This window comes from Homo sapiens, chromosome 16 (assembly GCF_000001405.40).
Source record: "Homo sapiens chromosome 16, GRCh38.p14 Primary Assembly".
In the NCBI taxonomy this organism is placed as follows: Eukaryota; Metazoa; Chordata; class Mammalia; order Primates; family Hominidae; genus Homo; species Homo sapiens.
In genome coordinates this window covers 4,314,182-4,329,548 of record NC_000016.10, presented here as the reverse complement: position 1 = coordinate 4,329,548, position 15,367 = coordinate 4,314,182, and the positions used below count along the sequence as shown (strand labels likewise).

General features: G+C 64.1%; 1 protein-coding gene and 1 long non-coding RNA gene across 3 annotated transcripts in view, besides 9 other annotated features; one reads left to right on the top strand and one right to left on the bottom strand.

The window, feature by feature from the left end:
• Positions 1–981: part of an enhancer, noted in NCBI's record as "H3K27ac-H3K4me1 hESC enhancer chr16:4378569-4379569 (GRCh37/hg19 assembly coordinates)", that runs on past the window's edge. NCBI's record gives its function as "activates a minimal SCP1, AML or CMV promoter by ChIP-STARR-seq in naive H9 embryonic stem cells {active_cell/tissue: H9 hESC(naive)}" and the evidence as "EXISTENCE:reporter gene assay evidence [ECO:0000049][PMID:30033119]".
• The window catches only part of GLIS2 (GLIS family zinc finger 2), a 24,835-nt gene extending 10,047 nt beyond the window's left edge, over positions 1–14,788 (bottom strand). The window contains exons 1-2 of one of the 2 annotated variants that reach the window (NM_001318918.2): positions 14,094–14,788; positions 380–439 (exon numbers count right to left, since the gene is read on the bottom strand). The gene's annotated coding sequence lies outside the window, so the exon portion shown is untranslated. Of the gene's footprint in view, positions 1–379; positions 440–13,294; positions 13,483–14,093 lie in introns of those variants that run through there. The other variant, NM_032575.3, reaches the window with a different exon arrangement.
• On the top strand, positions 1,209–4,901 carry GLIS2-AS1 (GLIS2 antisense RNA 1). Its single transcript, NR_110901.1, has 4 exons — positions 1,209–1,289; positions 3,055–3,119; positions 4,195–4,279; positions 4,774–4,901. It is a non-coding gene; the product is annotated as a GLIS2 antisense RNA 1 (long non-coding RNA).
• Positions 4,015–4,799: an enhancer, noted in NCBI's record as "H3K4me1 hESC enhancer chr16:4374751-4375535 (GRCh37/hg19 assembly coordinates)". NCBI's record gives its function as "activates a minimal SCP1, AML or CMV promoter by ChIP-STARR-seq in primed H9 embryonic stem cells {active_cell/tissue: H9 hESC(primed)}" and the evidence as "EXISTENCE:reporter gene assay evidence [ECO:0000049][PMID:30033119]".
• Positions 6,371–7,156: an enhancer, noted in NCBI's record as "H3K27ac-H3K4me1 hESC enhancer chr16:4372394-4373179 (GRCh37/hg19 assembly coordinates)". NCBI's record gives its function as "activates a minimal SCP1, AML or CMV promoter by ChIP-STARR-seq in primed H9 embryonic stem cells {active_cell/tissue: H9 hESC(primed)}" and the evidence as "EXISTENCE:reporter gene assay evidence [ECO:0000049][PMID:30033119]".
• Positions 10,920–11,569: an enhancer, noted in NCBI's record as "H3K4me1 hESC enhancer chr16:4367981-4368630 (GRCh37/hg19 assembly coordinates)". NCBI's record gives its function as "activates a minimal SCP1, AML or CMV promoter by ChIP-STARR-seq in naive H9 embryonic stem cells {active_cell/tissue: H9 hESC(naive)}" and the evidence as "EXISTENCE:reporter gene assay evidence [ECO:0000049][PMID:30033119]".
• Positions 11,570–12,220: an enhancer, noted in NCBI's record as "H3K27ac-H3K4me1 hESC enhancer chr16:4367330-4367980 (GRCh37/hg19 assembly coordinates)". NCBI's record gives its function as "activates a minimal SCP1, AML or CMV promoter by ChIP-STARR-seq in naive H9 embryonic stem cells {active_cell/tissue: H9 hESC(naive)}" and the evidence as "EXISTENCE:reporter gene assay evidence [ECO:0000049][PMID:30033119]".
• Positions 14,342–14,854: an enhancer, noted in NCBI's record as "H3K27ac-H3K4me1 hESC enhancer chr16:4364696-4365208 (GRCh37/hg19 assembly coordinates)". NCBI's record gives its function as "activates a minimal SCP1, AML or CMV promoter by ChIP-STARR-seq in primed H9 embryonic stem cells {active_cell/tissue: H9 hESC(primed)}" and the evidence as "EXISTENCE:reporter gene assay evidence [ECO:0000049][PMID:30033119]".
• Positions 14,342–15,367: a biological region, named in NCBI's record as "H3K27ac-H3K4me1 hESC enhancers GRCh37_chr16:4364183-4364695 and GRCh37_chr16:4364696-4365208".
• Positions 14,647–14,941: a silencer, noted in NCBI's record as "tiled region #8077; HepG2 Repressive non-DNase unmatched - State 4:PromP, and K562 Repressive DNase unmatched - State 4:PromP". NCBI's record gives its function as "represses a minimal TATA promoter and a strong SV40 promoter by Sharpr-MPRA in HepG2 and K562 cells {active_cell/tissue: HepG2 | K562}" and the evidence as "EXISTENCE:reporter gene assay evidence [ECO:0000049][PMID:27701403]".
• Positions 14,855–15,367: an enhancer, noted in NCBI's record as "H3K27ac-H3K4me1 hESC enhancer chr16:4364183-4364695 (GRCh37/hg19 assembly coordinates)". NCBI's record gives its function as "activates a minimal SCP1, AML or CMV promoter by ChIP-STARR-seq in primed H9 embryonic stem cells {active_cell/tissue: H9 hESC(primed)}" and the evidence as "EXISTENCE:reporter gene assay evidence [ECO:0000049][PMID:30033119]".

The following is a 15,367-nucleotide window of genomic DNA, read 5'->3' as shown; positions in this document are numbered from 1 at the left end:
TCTGCTTCTAGGGACACATCCCCAGACCCCACCCCAACATGGCTGACACGGGGGTCTCAGCACAGGGGGGCTGCCCACCTCTCCCAAGGCTGCATCATCAGAGCCAGGGCAGCTGCACTAGGCCGTGGGACCTAGGTCTGCGATTCGCCCCTGTTGGAGCTGTCAGATTGTTTGAATTTGCCTCCCAGGCCATGCATGGGCCAGGGGCTCCCAGAGATGCGGTGGGGTAGGGACCACACCCCCGCTAGCAGGTGGGTGGGTGACAGTGATGGATGGACCAGGGTCCCCTCCACTGTTTCTCTGGCTGGACAGGGAGTTGCCCTCTGCCTGAACCCCTGCCAGTTCCATCTGTCTATCTGTGTGTCTATCGTCCTGCTACCTGTTTATTTTTAGACACAGGCGCAATCCAGCCTCCCCGAAGCTCCTCTGTGCTGGAAGCCTGGACGGGGAGGAAGGAAGTAAATATTTATGCTGATGAAGAATTCAGGAGCCAGGAAGGGCTGGTGGCCTGGTCCCTTGGCTGGCCTGGGGCCACAGGCCTCCCCACAGCCTCTGTCCTCACCCCCACCCCCACCCTTCCGGAGAAGGGGACCACAAGGGCAGGATGGTTTGGGAACTGGGAATTCCAGCTGACGGGGACACTCACTGGCAGCGCTGCCCAAGCAACATCCTTTGGCACCTGCCCCACTGCCTTCCCAGGACAGATGGGGACTCGGGGAGCCAGGGGCCCTGAGTCACCTTGTTCTTAGGGCCTGCAGGGGACACTTCCCCAGGAGGAGCCTGTCTCCCCAGGTGGGGCCAGCCACACGGCCCAAAGCCAGAGGGAGGACTCCAATGCACCCCCTTCATCAGCAGGTCCAGTCCCCAGGGGCACCCCCACACACTTCCTGCCACTGGGTCCTGCCAGGGAGGCAGGGGTTCATTCCAATGCAGGCCAGAGCCCGGCACACGGCCTGCGTCCCTGCCCCCGGGAAAGGAAGGAGCTGCCCCCAGCCCTACACCTCCCAGCATCCCTGTTCCAGGCCCTCCCCACCCAGAGTTTTTCCTCCAATGGAGGCCCCACCCCAGAGGGGAGACGGTCAGTGACCCTGCTTCAGTTCTGACCTTGGCCAGGCTTAAAGCCTCCCCTTCCACCCCCGCCCCGACCGGCAGCAGCCAGTTCTGGGCTCTGCTCTGTGCTTTTGTTCCCGGCTGGGTGAAGGGGGCAGGCGAGAGCTAGGTTCCTGCTCTCCTGAAAGCCTCGGAGGCCCAGAGCGGGGAGCAGCGGGCCTGCAACCAGGGAACCCTGAGTGAGTGCCCATGAGCGGGTGGCCGTGGCTCTCCCCAGCGTAAGGCCGACAGCCTGGCTCTGGACAAGCTCAGCCAGAGGCCTGGGTGCTAATTACTGCGGGGTCCCGAGGGCAGGAGCCGGCTCTCGGTCAGGTGGGGGCACCCCGTGGATGCTCCCCGGGCGCAGCGCAAGGCCCGCCGGCCCCACGCCCCTCTGCGCCTCCTGGTGGAGCCTTCCGTTCCTCAGTTTCCCCCCGGTGGGACAGCGCAGCGTGGAGGGTGCACAGAGCCCAGGGCCGCGTCTCTCGAGCACTCAGCCTGGGATGCGCCCAGGGCAGCGCCCCCACACGCAAGGGCCCAGGGGTTGGGGCGAGGGCTGGGGTTGTCGGTGGGGGGTGGGGGTGGCCGCGGAACCGGCCGCTGCGCGGCTCCTCCAGCTGCAAAAGGAACTAATTAGAGCGGGGCGAGCGGGAGGAAGCGGCTGCGGCGAGGGAGGAAGCGCGCGGGGGCGGCCGCGGGGACCACCGGGACGGCGGGGGCTTCGGGGGACCGGGCCCTGCCCTTCCCACCCACCGCAGGGCGGGGGTCACCCGGAGGGTGGGCTGGGCGGGCCCCCCGCCACCCTGGCCGAGACAATGGCTGCTATTGTGTGCCCGACCGCAGCCCGAGCAGACGGCCCCCAGCTGCAGCGCTGGCGGAGCCACCCGGCCCCCCGCCCGCAGTCCCCGGCCAGGCCAGGTAGCCAAGGATCCCGCCCTGGCAGGCGGGGCCGGCCACTGTCCCCACCCTCCCTACTGGAAGGCACGGGGCGACCCAGCACACTCAGGGAAACTAAGGCCCGGAAAAGACAGTCTCTTCCAGGGCCCCTTGGCCTGGGGTGGGTCATACACCAGAGGGGGTAAAGGACCATTAGGTACTGACCACGTGTCAGGCCCATCTGTCCATGGATTCAATGACCCCTCTACAACCCTGCCTGGCAGTAGCTGCTGTCATTTTCCCGATCTCACAGATGGGGAAACTGAGGCTTGAGATCACTAGGCTAATAGGGAGCTGGTTGGAGTCCTGCTCTGAATAAAGCTCCTTCTAGGCCAGGCGCGGTGGCTGACGCCTGTAAGCCCAGCACATTGGGAGGCCGAGGCAGGAGAATCCCTTGAGTGCAGGAGTTCTACACCAGCCTGGGCAACATGGAAAAATCCCGTTTGAAGTAAAAAAATCAGCCGGTGGCCGGGCACGGTGGCTCATGCCTGTAATCCCAGCACTTTGGGAGGCCGAGGGCGGACCACCTGAGGTCAGGAGTTCCAGACCAGCCTGGCCAACATGGCGAAACGCTCTCTCTACTAAAAATACGAAAATTAGCCGGGCGTGGTGGCAGGTGTCTGTAATTCCAGCTACCCGGGAGGCTGAGGCAGGAGAATCGCTTGAACCAGGGAGGCAGAAGTTGCAGTGAGCTGAGATCGCGCCACTGCACTCCAGCCTGGGCGACGGAGTGAGACTCCATCTCGGAAAAAAAAAAAAAAAAAAAAATAGCTGGGCGTGGAAGCAGGGACCTGTGGTCCCAGCTACTCGGGAGGCTGAGGTGGGAGGATCGCCTGAGCCTGGGGAGTTTGAGGCTGCAGTAAGCCGAGATCACACCACTGCACTCCGGCCTGTCTCAAAAAACAACAAAAAAAGCTCCTCCTTTCCTGCTTGGGGGAGGGTGGCTGGCAGGCCCTAAGCCTGTGGAGGTGCAGGGTGCACTGGGGGGCTGTGTGCACCCACCCTGAGAACCACTTGGTCTCTTTGCAGAAGGAAGCGGGTCCTCTGTAAGATGGGGCTGCATCCCTGCCCCGCTCCCAGCAGCATGGGGTCAGGTGAGTGACCAGCGTGGCAGTGTTGTCAAGGGCAATGTGAGGAACACCCCTTGCCTTGGAGTGTCCTGCGAGTGCGCTTTTGGTCAGCAGTGGCCATTTAGCTGAGAACTTGGAGACAAGGCCTCAAGATGCATCTCTCAGAAGTCTATGTGGTCACCTTTGTTTTTTTTGTTTGTTTCTTTTTTGAGATGGAGTCTCACTCTGTCACCCAGGCTGGAGTGCAGTGGCACGATCTCAGCTCACTGCAAGCTCCGCCTCCCAGGTTCACAGCATTCTCCTGCCTCAGCCTCCTGAGTTGCTGGGACTACAGGCGCCCACCACCACACCCGGCTAATTTTTTTGTGTGTATTTTTTTAGTAGAGATAGGGTTTCACCGTGTTAGCCAGGATGGTCTCGATATCCTGACCTCGTGATCCGCCCACCTCGGCCTCCCAAAGTGCTGGGATTACAGGCGTGAGCCACCAAGTCTGGCCTTTTTTTTTTTTTTTTTTTTTTTTTTTAAGACACAGAGTCTTGCTCTGTCTCCCAGGCTGGACTGCAGTGGCGTGGTCATGGCTAACTGCCGCCGAGGCTCAAGAGATCCTCCTGCCTCAGCCTGCAGAGCAGCTAGGACCACAGGTGCACCACCACCACACCCAGCTCATTTTTAAATTTTTTATTTTGCAGAGATGGGGGGGTCTCCCTGTGTCATCCAGGCTGGTCTCGATCTCCTGGACTCAAGCCATCCTCCTGTCTCTGCCTCCCAAAGTGCTAGGATTACAGGCAGGAGCCACCACGCCCAGCCCGTCATCTTCTAATTTAACAGAAAGAGGAAGTGAGTCCCTGGTCACTCCTGAACCAGTCAGAGAAACCCTGGTCTGTGGGTGTCCCTGAGTCTATTACTGGAACCATCACTTCAGCAGTATGGTCTTACAGATGGGGAAACTGAGGGCTGAAGGGGGAGGCATCCAGCCCAGGCTGCACAAGTAGGTGGCAAACCCACAACCAGAAGCCACGGGCAAGCAGCATGAGGACAGTACCCATAGCCAGGTGCGGGTACTGTGAAGGCAGGTGCTGTTTCATCCCCATTTTACAGATGCAAAAACTGAGGCTCAGGGGAGTGAAGTGACCCATCCAAGGTCCCACAGCTTGTCCGTGGCAGAGCTGGGTTTCAACCCCAGGTAAGTCCAGAAGCCATGTTCACTATTGGCCCTTCCTATGTCAGGGGCTCAGGCTTGGTACCCCCTCCCCGCCCAGGGACTTGTGGGGCTAGGAGGGATAGCAGAGCAGGCAGTGGGTGGGCGCTGGAGGGGCTGGCTGGGGTGGGGGGCCCACCAGGAGGCTTGGAGAGCCGAGGGCAGATCTGCTGCCAAAGCAAACGGCCCCACAGCCCCAGATTCCTGGGAACCAGCTGCGGCTCCCTGCTCTGGCCAAGAGCTCCACCCTCCTTGGCCGCCCAGCAGCAGGGGCTGGCGGGCAGGGGCAGGGCCTGCTGGGGGCCCCAGGCAGGAGGGCTCGTCCTCTCAGGGCCCCCCTTCCTGACCAGGCAACAGAACCGGACTCGAAATCTGGGGCCCCACCCGGCTCTGCTACTCCCTTTGCGTGTCTCTTCAGTCTGCGCCTCATCCCCCTCATCCCAAATGGGATTATATAGGACCCCCATGTTGGGTTTCAGGGAGAAACCAATGCAGTGCTGCACATCCAATCACTATTGAGTGCTTCTCCTTCGTCCGTAACGTTCAGCACGGAGAACAGTGCCTGGCACATAGTAGGTGCTTAATAAAACGTGCTGAATGAATCGTCGCCAGTGTGCATGAGTCCATAGCCTTTGGCCCATCTACCGCTGTGAGGGCAGCTGAGTGGGGACTGGCCATCCCCTCTATGCCACTGCAGTCTCACCCTGAACCAGGAGAACCTGGGCTCTGCCACCTGCCAGCCAGCGTGCACCCTAAACAAGCCTATGCCCCTCAAAGAACCTCAGGCCTCTTCAATCCTGGGGAGTGACCACAGCTGGCCCTAACCACCTTCCAGAGCCCAACTGCATCAAAGAAAGAGCACTACAAGGCCCCGGGAAGGCCTGATCAACCCTGGAAGGAGCTGGCCGCAGACAGGCCTCCTCCCAGGACTGGAGGGGGAGGAGCTTATCCTGAGGCCTGGCCCAGCAGATCCCAGGAGAGGGGCCAGGGCAGGCGGCACTTCCTGGAAGAGTGGGGGATTCACCGTCCCTGGGAACCTTTGGCTCAGTAGGCAGCCCCTCCCCCTCCCAAGACGGGGCACTCAGCCAGCACCCCCGGACCTTTTGGGAGGGCAGACCCCCTCCCGGGGTGGGAACACAAGGGGTCCGAGGTGACCCAGCCAGGGCTGACCTCTGCCCTCTGCCGTGGGGTCCTCGGGAAAGCACCTGAAGATGGGATGTGCCAGGGATCTTTTTTCTGCGTGTTCACAGAGTGTGCCCCAGGGCCAGGCTGCCTGGTTACAGCCCCCTGTGCCACCCCTGGCTGTGGGAACTCAGAAAGGCCCTGCTGTCTCTGAGCCTTGGTTTCCTTGTAGGTAACAGACACCACGGCAATGGTCCCTGGGACTCAGGGCATCTTGCAAGGGAGGGCCTTGTCCTCATGCCTGCCATAAAGAAGCTGCCAGCTACTGGTAACCTAAAGGATTCTTGTTTCCGGCCCCAGGCTGGGGGTTCCCTGCACAGCAACTTGGGCCTGCCAAGGTCACCCAGATAATTCAGGCAGAGCTGAAGCTGGAAGACGGGCCGGAGGGCTTCCCTGGCCTGCACCAGCCCGGGCTTCCTAGGAGATGCCCCACCAGAGGCACTTCCTTCTCCAACGCCAGCAGGGAGGGTGACACCGGGCTCCGGGAGCCCCGGCACACACACGCACACTCACACAGATGGCCATGGCAGTCCAGCTGCAGGGCCGGCCTGGCACAGAGGCCTCCCCATCCTGGTGGCTCCGGGCCCCTGCTGCAGTGGCCTCCACCCCCCCGCTGCCTGCCCGCTGCTGCACCTTTGCACAACTATGTCTGGTATTTTCCTGTCTGCCCAGCTTTGGGGGGGTGCTTGGAGCTATGATCACCGCCTGCACCTGGGCCCCAGCCAGAGGAAAGCCCGCCCCGCAGCCCCCACACCTGCCCACCCACCCGGGCTGGGAGGGGAGGGGACCAGAGCACTGGGCCCTGCCACCCAAATCCCTGGGAGGGGCTGGCACCAGGGAGCGAGACAGGGATGCACGCCCAGCAAGGCTGGGGCACAGACAGCCCAGGCCCTGCCAGGCGGCACTGCCATTCTCAGCAGACCCAGCCAGAGCTATCTGAGGCCAGCAAAGGGATGGGCCAGTGTAGCACAGGACATGAGCAGGCACCCACAGCACCCCCGGATGTACAGACACCTGTGCACAAATGTGGCACACACAGGACATCACAGTAACCCCTTGCCCCAGTGTCGGGGCCAGGACTCAGGAGCCTTGGCTTCTGGGGGAGAGCAGGGATGAGGCCGGGTCCCCAGAGCGAAGGAAACACCGCGCCTCCCAAGCCACGCCTGGCTGCAGGCAGATCCCACAAGGAGCTCCTAAGTCCTGGGGGGTCGGGGCAGGCCCGTGGCCCACGCCTCCCCTGCCTGGGGCCAGGTACCAGGTCCACTGGGAACGGCACCCGCCAACTCCGAGAGCAGGAGTGGGTAAGGCGGGCGGTGGACCTTGGCCTGCCCTCCTGCCTCGGTTCTCCAACCACGCATTCATGCATTCCAACGCCAGGCCCTGCTAGATCGAACCGGACCTTGAGGGTGCCCCGACCAAGGTGGGGTGGGAGAAACAGTGTAGGGGGGGGGCTGCTCCTGCAGGGGGTTGGGCACAGATCCGGGTCAGCCTCATGGATATGGGGTGAAGAGCCTTGGGGAGGTGGGAGCCCTGCGGGTCGGCGCCCGGTCAGCATGCCTGCTGCACACAGTCCATCACCCTGATGACCCCGCGAATGGATGCCATTTTCCCCATTTTCCATGTGGGGAAACCTGCCACTGTCACAGCCAGCAAGGGGCACAGCTGGGTTCGCCAGCAGACCCCAAAGCCCAGTGCCACAGAGGACCAGAGGCTATGGCCCGGCTGATCTGCAGTGACCCTACCAGTCATGGAGTAGACGAGGAGGCAGGAGAGAAAGAGGCCCCTCAGAGAGGCTGGGACAGAACCTAGAGGGCACTGGGGAGCCACAGAGGGCTCTACACAGAAGAGTGCCACCTGCTCTCTCAGCCCAGAGCCTCCTGCCCCAGGCCCTCTCCTTTGGCACCCCCCTTCCTCAGGATCCCCTGCCCCCTGGGAACCTGATGCTCCCAGGTGCCAGCTCCTCCCTCACCACCATCCATGCCCCCCTGTTCTCTTTCCTCCAGCCACCATCCCCTTCTGCCCCCTCCTCCACCAAGTGCTCCCTGGTTCACCCTCCCCAGCCTCGGTTTCTGGAGCTGCACACAGGCTGTGGGTCCAGGTACCTGAGGGCCTGCTGGGCAAAGACTTGCCTCTGTCCACCCCCGCTGGAGGCAGGCTGTCCCGGGTCCAAGTCCTTGCCAATGCATCACTGAAGCCAGTGTCACCTGTGCACAGCGTGGTGTACACAGCGCCGACCTTCAGCCCCAGGCCTCCCACTGGCCCTGGTATCCAGAGCCTCCTTCCAAGAAGGGAGCCTGGGAGTGGGCCGGGACATGTCTGGGACGCCGGGCAGCTCCAAACCCGCTGTGGCTACTGAAGAGAAGGCCTCACCAGCAGACCCCTGCCCCAGTTCCCACGGCCCCTGGCACGGAGCCCACCCCATCCACCAGAGTGAACTGGGCAGTGAGGCAGGGAACCCAGAATGAGAAAACTAGGCCTGGGTTTCCCCATCCACAGGAGGGGGCCTGCTGAGAGGACAGCCGAAGCTCCAACAACCCCAACCACTCATCTTAGGTGGCACAGTGGTACCTGCCCTTCACATATCCCAACACCTGGCACTCCGCGAATGAGTCCGTCTCATTCATGTATTCATTCACTCGACAGACATTCCCGCCTTTACCCCCAAGTGAGGAGGGGAGGGGTAGGTATGGAGGGGTTCGTGCCCAAAGAGGAATGTGACTTGCCCAAGGTCAAGGCTAGAAGCAGGGGCTGGTCTCCTGACATAGATGCCTCTTTCTCCCTGTCCCAGGCAAGGGACCCAGGAACAGAGCTGGACAAGGGTGTGGTGGCCCCTAGGAACCACCCTGGCCAGCTGGGATGGTGGGAAGGGCCCAGATCCCCCCCAGCTCCATCTCCTGCCACGCCCTCCCAGCCCTGGCCCCCAGCCCCAGATAGCTGGGCAAGAGCAGGCCCAGCAGGGCACCGCACACACAGGACTCCAGCCCATGCCCTCCTCCTCAGCCACCCGCCCCTCTCTGCTCGCCTACTCTGGAAGAAAGCAAGTCCAGAAGCCGGGGACAGCCTCCAAAGCCATCGAGGTCCTTTTCCTTCCAAAGGGGAACACCCACTGGCAGGATCTGCCAGGCCTGGTGGCTCCAGGCCCTCGGGGCCCAGTGGCCCTAGAACCAAGCAGGGTGACCACTAGGTGCTCCGGGGGGTGCTGGGGGAGGCCGGGGCTGGCAGGGAGACGAGCACCAGCACAGGGTTGGGGGGACTTCAGAATAGGGAGGACAATGGAGGCCCCTACAGCCTTGCGGGGAGGGGACATCCCAGCTCAGAGTCGGTCTGCCTGGAAGTTGGGGTGGGGAATGGGGGCTCTGGATGAAGGTGGGAGTGGCCCAGGGGAGAACTGGCCCAGGCAGGCCGGGACTTGCTAGACAGCCCCAGGCAGACGATGCAGGGAAGGGGAGAGGCTTCTTCCAGACACGTTGGCCCCCGTCATGCCCTTGCAGTGGACGTGGGGGGCAGGAGTGGAGCTGGGGGGATTCCCAGGCTAAACCGACATTTCAGGGGTCAGGGCCAGACAGCCCCAGACTCCAGTTCCCCTCTGTTCTTCCCCGATTGGGAGTGACCTCGGGCCAAACCCTCAAATGTCTCAGAGCCTCAGTTTCCCCCCACCGGCCTCCGACGACCTCTTGACTACCAGGGTCCAAGCGAGGCTGCCCTGGGAGCGTGCTGTGCCAGCGGTGGGGACCCTCCATGTGACGGGCAGGACTGTTTTCCGGAGGCTCCCGGCCGGGGGCTGACTCAGTCCACTCAGCGGTCTCCTGGGGCCTCTGCTGGCTTCCCACCCGCCCTTGGCCATGACTGGAGGAAGGGGCCAGGGCTGGGTCTCCGTCCCTTCCCCGGCAGCCATCTGCCAAGGCTGGAGTCCGTGTGCACGCACATGTGACACTCACAGGCCGGCCCCTCCCTGCGGTGGGCACTACCTGGCCTCTCAAGCACCGAAGACAAAGGGCACGAGGAGCCCAAGTCACCCGCCCCCCAGCCATCGAACTGGAAGAGTCTCAGCCCCCACCCATCCCCCAGCAGGGGCTGCTGGGGCAGATGGGAAGCCCCCACCCCTCAGCTGGAATCACTTCCCATCTCCATGCCCCCCAGGCCCACTTAGCCTGGCCACCAGCTAACCAGAATCCTCCAGCCCATCTGGGGGAGTGGGGGAGTGGAAGGCGAGTACCCGGCCTCCGTGCCTGCCCAGCCTCACCCAGGGGCTAAGCCGGAGCCAGGAGAGAAACCTGGGTCTCCTCCAGGCTGTGCCCTGCAGACCCTGCCACCATCATCACCATGATCCCTCTCCAGTCCCTGGGATCAAAGCAGTGCCCCCACGCTGGCCCCCCAGCAGAGTACTAGAGGTGCTTGTTGGAAGCGCGGAGTCCCCGCCCCCAGCCACGCCTGACTTAGAATTCACCAGGGTGGGGCGGAGGCGGCCACCTCAGAAACCACTGAGAGGCAGATGTGGCCCGGGAGACTCGCTAGGGCTGTGGTCCCCACACCCAGGGCTGGCAGCAGGCTGGGGCAGGGCGCAAGTTCCCAGAGACGTGAACCCCCAGATACACATCAGGGCCTCAACCCATCTCTGTGGACCCTTTCATAGCCCCTGGGAAGGGAGGCAACTTAGGCAGAGGGTGGAGAGCATCTTTCAGCTGGTCCCACAGATCCCCTAGCCAGCAGGGAGAGGGTCTCTTACTGCTCAATACACAGCCCCGCCAAGCTGGGGATGCCCCCTACCCCTGAGAAGGGCATTTATCTGGGTGAGGGGAAGACCACCCAGGACCTTCCGGGGTTCCCCTGTGGTCTCAGTCACCTGCTGTGAAATAAAGTAACAATTATAGCCATGAGGAGAGGAAGGGATTCAGGGGACACTTTTCTCTGCAGCCACCCCCGCCCCAATTCCACCCAGCACAGGGCCTCTCCCATGGAATCAATTTCCTCCTTAGGTGCCAGAGACCCCTGGGCCTCCCCTTAGAGGCAGGAACCTTCGGAGGCAGCCTCTGGGGCTGGGGGTCAGGCCAGGCGACCCACAAAAGTGCCTCCCCAGGAGCCCCCCCAAGATGCCCCACAAGAGCTCCACATCTGGTCCCCCAGTCACAGCTGTCGCCACCCTCCCTCATCCAGAGATTGCCCCAAACCCTGGCCGGCACTGGCCCTCACCCCCTGGTCCAAGTGGGGAATTCAGATTCCAGGCGAGTGGAGCGGGTGGCTAGAAATACACATGGGAAATTGTTGCCGGGAAAACACATTCTTCCTCCTATATGGCTGCCCAGACCCTGAGAGGATTAGGTGGTGAGAGGACACTCCCACCGCCCGGGGCCAAGGCCAGGCCGGGAAGGAGGGTGGAGGGGAGAGTGGGGGCCTTGGAAATGGGGTCCAGGCCTCCCTCCAGGCCCCAAGAAGGGGCCCTGGGAGACCTTTGTTTTCCCTCCGGCCTGTTCACTCTCAGCCCTCTACTTGTCCTCCCTGCAAGGGGAGTTCAGGCGGGGGAAGAAATCGCTGTGGCTACCCAGTTGCAGCTGGGTTTCTCAGAAACAAAAGCTTTGGGGGGACGCGGTTCACACGATTGTTTGCAATGAGGTTTTGGGATGTCTGTGGCATCCAGTTATTCATCCGGGCTCCACCCTCGGATAATTGAGAGTTGGCTTTTGCTGGATTTACACCCTCTTTCCTCCCCCTGACCCCCCTCCACCCAGGCTTCTCATGGACTCTGGGAGCTCACCTGGTCTGACCCCTTGGTTTCATAGACAAGGCCGGGAGAGGGGAGGAGTCTGACCCAAGGACCACTGGAAGTTGGTGGTGGAGCCAAGACTTGAACCCAGGGCAGGAGACTCCCAGGCCAGGGGCTTTCCCCGGTCACCCTCCAAGCTGTGACTGGGCTCCAGCCAATCCCCAGAAGCCACTGACCCCAAAAGCAGCGGTGCCTGGAAGTGGGGTGACTCACTGTCTGGCTTCCCAGGGCACCCCCTCCCCATTGGTGAGGGAGGGACTGGCAGGTGTCCCTGTGTAGAGAGCCAGGAGCAAGGAGAGAACTCCCCAGGGGGCCTGGGCCAGGGTCACTCAGGGGCCGAAGAGCCCCAGCTGGAGGGATTTAACACCAAAGGTCAAAGGTCACAGACAGGGAAGGGCGGGCAGGCACAGGGGGTCAGCGCTAATGGCAGCTCCGGAAAGGAGGGGGAGGAGGAAAGGCTAAGAAAAACAGGGTTGCTTCCAAGGGGTCCGCACACCCCCCAAAACACCATCCCAAGTCCCTGGCACTGTCTCCTGCTTGGCTGGCTGCAGACAGGGCCAAGTTGAGCTGGAGGTGGGCAGTGAAATGGGCCAGGCTGGAGCTTGGCAAAGGGTGTCCTGGGAGGGGCCTCCCAGGTGCAGCCCCTCCCCCTGTGCAGGCCAGGCCAGCTAGGAGGCCCAGCCTGGGCTCTGGGGAGAAGGAGAAGCAGAGGGGGAGGTCCGAGGTCACCCGGGATGGGTGTGTGGGCTGGGCCTGGACAGCTGTGGCACTGTGGCACCAGAATGGGGCTTGGGGAGGGGTGACCCAAGGGGCCAGTTTCCCCTCCCCTGAGCCCGGGGGCTGGAAGGCCCTCCGAAGCGCAGTGTCTCTGGGCTTCCTCCCCAGCCGCAGGCTGGCCCCACCTTCCCTCCAGGATGCCAGGACACGCAGGATGGCGGCCTACTACCCAGGGTGCCAGCCTCCAAGAACCATGGCCCAGGCCCTTTCCATGGCCCAGACCAAGCCCAGGCCTTGGCCAGGTCCCCAGCCGGCCTGGCTGCCCCCTCAGTGTCAAGCGTTCCCTCCAGAGCCAAGATCCTGGGCTGTGATGGCTGGGGGCCCAGGGCCCCTCCCAGCATCCCTTCCAGCTTCCCAGGCCCCAGGGCAGGGCTGGGCAACTCCTTGAAACCATTGCTTCCCGGCCACCCTCTGGCCAGGCTGGGCGGGCCCTCCTGGACAGGCAGACAGGCTGCACGCTGCCCTGCTGTGGCCCGAGTACCCTGCTGGGCAGGGCAGCATGCCAAGGCCTCCAGGTGCCAGCCTGGATTCCAGCCCCATCCCAGGGGGCCAGCGGGGAAGCTGTGCGTGCTTCTCCTCCCTCGGGATGCACCTGCCTCGCCCCCTCCTCCACCCGCTCCAGACCCGCCCTCCGGCGAGTATGGACCCCTTGCCATCTCCTCCCTGCCAGGCCGGTCGCCTGCGTCCACCCGGACCGCAGGGGAGTAACAAGTGCCTGACTTGTCCCAAACTCCCAGTCCTGACCCCCCAGGGACGCCCCTTCCCGAGGTCCAAGGAAGGACCCGGGCTTGCGAGGGGCAGCAGGAGGGAGACTCTCCCGGCCAAGGGAGGAGGCACCTTCCAAAGCCCTTCCTAGCAGCAGCCCCGGCGCGGCCGAGAGGAGGGGCGGCTGCCCCGGACAACTTCATGCCCAGGCTCCGGGTACCCCCCTCTCACCTCGCCGCACGCCCCCCACCGCGGCCGCCCAACTTCCCAGCTGAAGTTTGCGCCCGCCCCGGGCCCGGGCGCTGCTCGGCCCGGCCTCCAGACGGAGGGAAGGAAGGAGGGAGAAGAAAGACCGAGAGCTCGAGGGACCCGGCCGGGGAGCCGGCGAGGGAGGGAGCGCGCGAGCCAGCGAGCGAGCGAACGCGGGGGCCTCGGCGAGGGCTCACAATGGCCCGGGGCGCGGACGCGAGCGGGGGAGGAGACCCTCGGGCCCCGCAGCCCCGGCGCGACAGGCGGGCCCCCCCCCCCCCGCCCCGGCCCGGTCCCCACGGCGCGACGCCCGGGGGGCTTCCTACCTCAGCGGCGGGGGCGGTCGGGATCCGGGCTGCGGGCTCCGGCGGTCGGGGGGCGCGGGGAGCCGAGCGGGGGAGGGGCCGGGACGGGCGGGGGCCGGGGCGCGAGGCCTCACGGGGCGCGGGCTCCCCTGGCACGGCCGCCCGGCGCCCGGCCGCTCCGCCACATCTGCAGCTCGGGCAGGGAAGGTGGCCGCGGCGGCCGGGCCGTGCGGGGATGTCTTAGAGGGAGGGCGGGCGGGCGGGAGGAGGGAGGAGGGAGGCGGCGGGAGGAGGGCCCGCCGGCCGCGGAGGAGGGCGAGGAGGAGGGGCGCGGGGGGCGGCCTCCACCCCTCCCCTCGCTCGCTCGCTCCCTCCCTCCCAGCAAAACCCCTCTCACCGCTGCGGCCCCAGGCCCGGGGCGCCAGCTGCCAGGCGGGGCGTGCGCGTCGGGGGAGGGGGCGGCGGGAGCCGGCGCTGGGCCGAGGGAGGGGGAAGGGAGGGCGGCGCGGCCGCGGGGAGCGGGCACCGGGAGGGAGGGGTGAGGGAGGGAAGTGGGGCGCCGAGCCGCGCGCGTCCTCCTCGGCCCCATCCTCACGCCACCCCCCCCCCGCGGCCCCGCCCCCGGCCCGAGGGCAGCGCTAGGACACGGCCGGGAGGTGGCCTGGGGGGGCGGGGGAGCCCGAGACGTCCCGCCCTCGGGGAAGCCCGAGGAGGGGGCCGGGCGCGCGGGCCCAGAGGAAAAGCCCCGCAGACCGGGAAGATGGAGGAGGTCGCGGCGGCGGAGCGGGCGGGGACCCCTCGCCTCCTCCCGCGGGGTCACCTTGGCCAGGCCCCCCTGCGGCCCCGGGCGGCGGGGAAGGCGGCAGGAATGCCTCTCTGCGGGCCCTGATTTCTCCGCCCAGCCCAGTTCCAGGAACGCGCAGGCAGCGCCCGGCGGGCAGAGGTCCCGGATCCCGATGCCGGGCGGCGCAAACCAGTTTTCGGGGCCCGGCGCAACCCCTCACGCTGGTGAGACGGCGGGCGACTCCCTGCCGTGCCCTCGGTCTCAGTTTCCCTCACGGTAGAATAACGACGAGGCCCGATGCCGAGCAATCCGAGCTTCCGCTTGGTTCCTAGCTTGGTCCCAGCATTTGGGACCACCTGCGTCCACTAGCCCGAGCGCCGCGGGAGGTCTAGATCCCTCCTGGACATCAGCACCCTGCGCGGCGCCCGCGGCCAGGGCAGCGAGTGCAGTGAGCGGATACACGCGAGGGAGAAGCCCCGCACCCGGCCCAGCTGTTTTCTGCCTCGTGTTGAACCACAGACTCGCGTTCTTGAGTGTGTTTTGTTTGGGCTAATCCCGTGCCCCCCGCCCTGTTATCTTCTTGCTGCTCTGCTGTATGCTGGCAAATTGTAGTTCAAAAAAACAGCCCTCCTGCTGTTGGACACCCCCTCTTCCCAGCGCAGTTGGCCTTGAGGAGCCTAGGAGACGAAAAAGGCATCCCAGAATCAGCATCCCCTAGAGGTGAGGCATCTGACGCTGGTTTTAAGTCCGTCTTCATTCGTGCATTTGATGCTGCGGTCCCCGCCAGAGCCCGAAGCACGTGGCTCTTGATCACAAGGCATCCATGGCAGGCACAAGGCTTGGCACATAGTAGGTGCTCCTGGGCTGGTGCCCAGATGGACACATAGCAGGTGCTCATGGGTTATGTGGACACACAATCGATGCTCATTGCATTTTAAGAGAATGCACACATAGTAGGTGCTCATGGGCTGGTGCCCAGATGGACACATAGCAGGTGCTCATGGGTTATGTGGACACACAATCGATGCTCATTGCATTTTAAGAGAATGCACACATAGTAGGTGCTCAGGACGTTGTGGGTGAATGCACACATAGTAGGTGTGGACTCGTAATGGATGCTCATGTTTTGGTCTAATGAACACATATTAGGTGCTCATGACCTGTTGTGGAAATGGGCACATAGTAGGTGCGCAGGAGCTGTAGGTTGATACCTGGAAGGGATGTAGGAAGGCCGTTTGCCTGGAGCAAAGGCTCGGAAGTTGGCGATTTGGAGGTGACCTCCCCCAGCCTCCACCCTCACCTCACCCCGG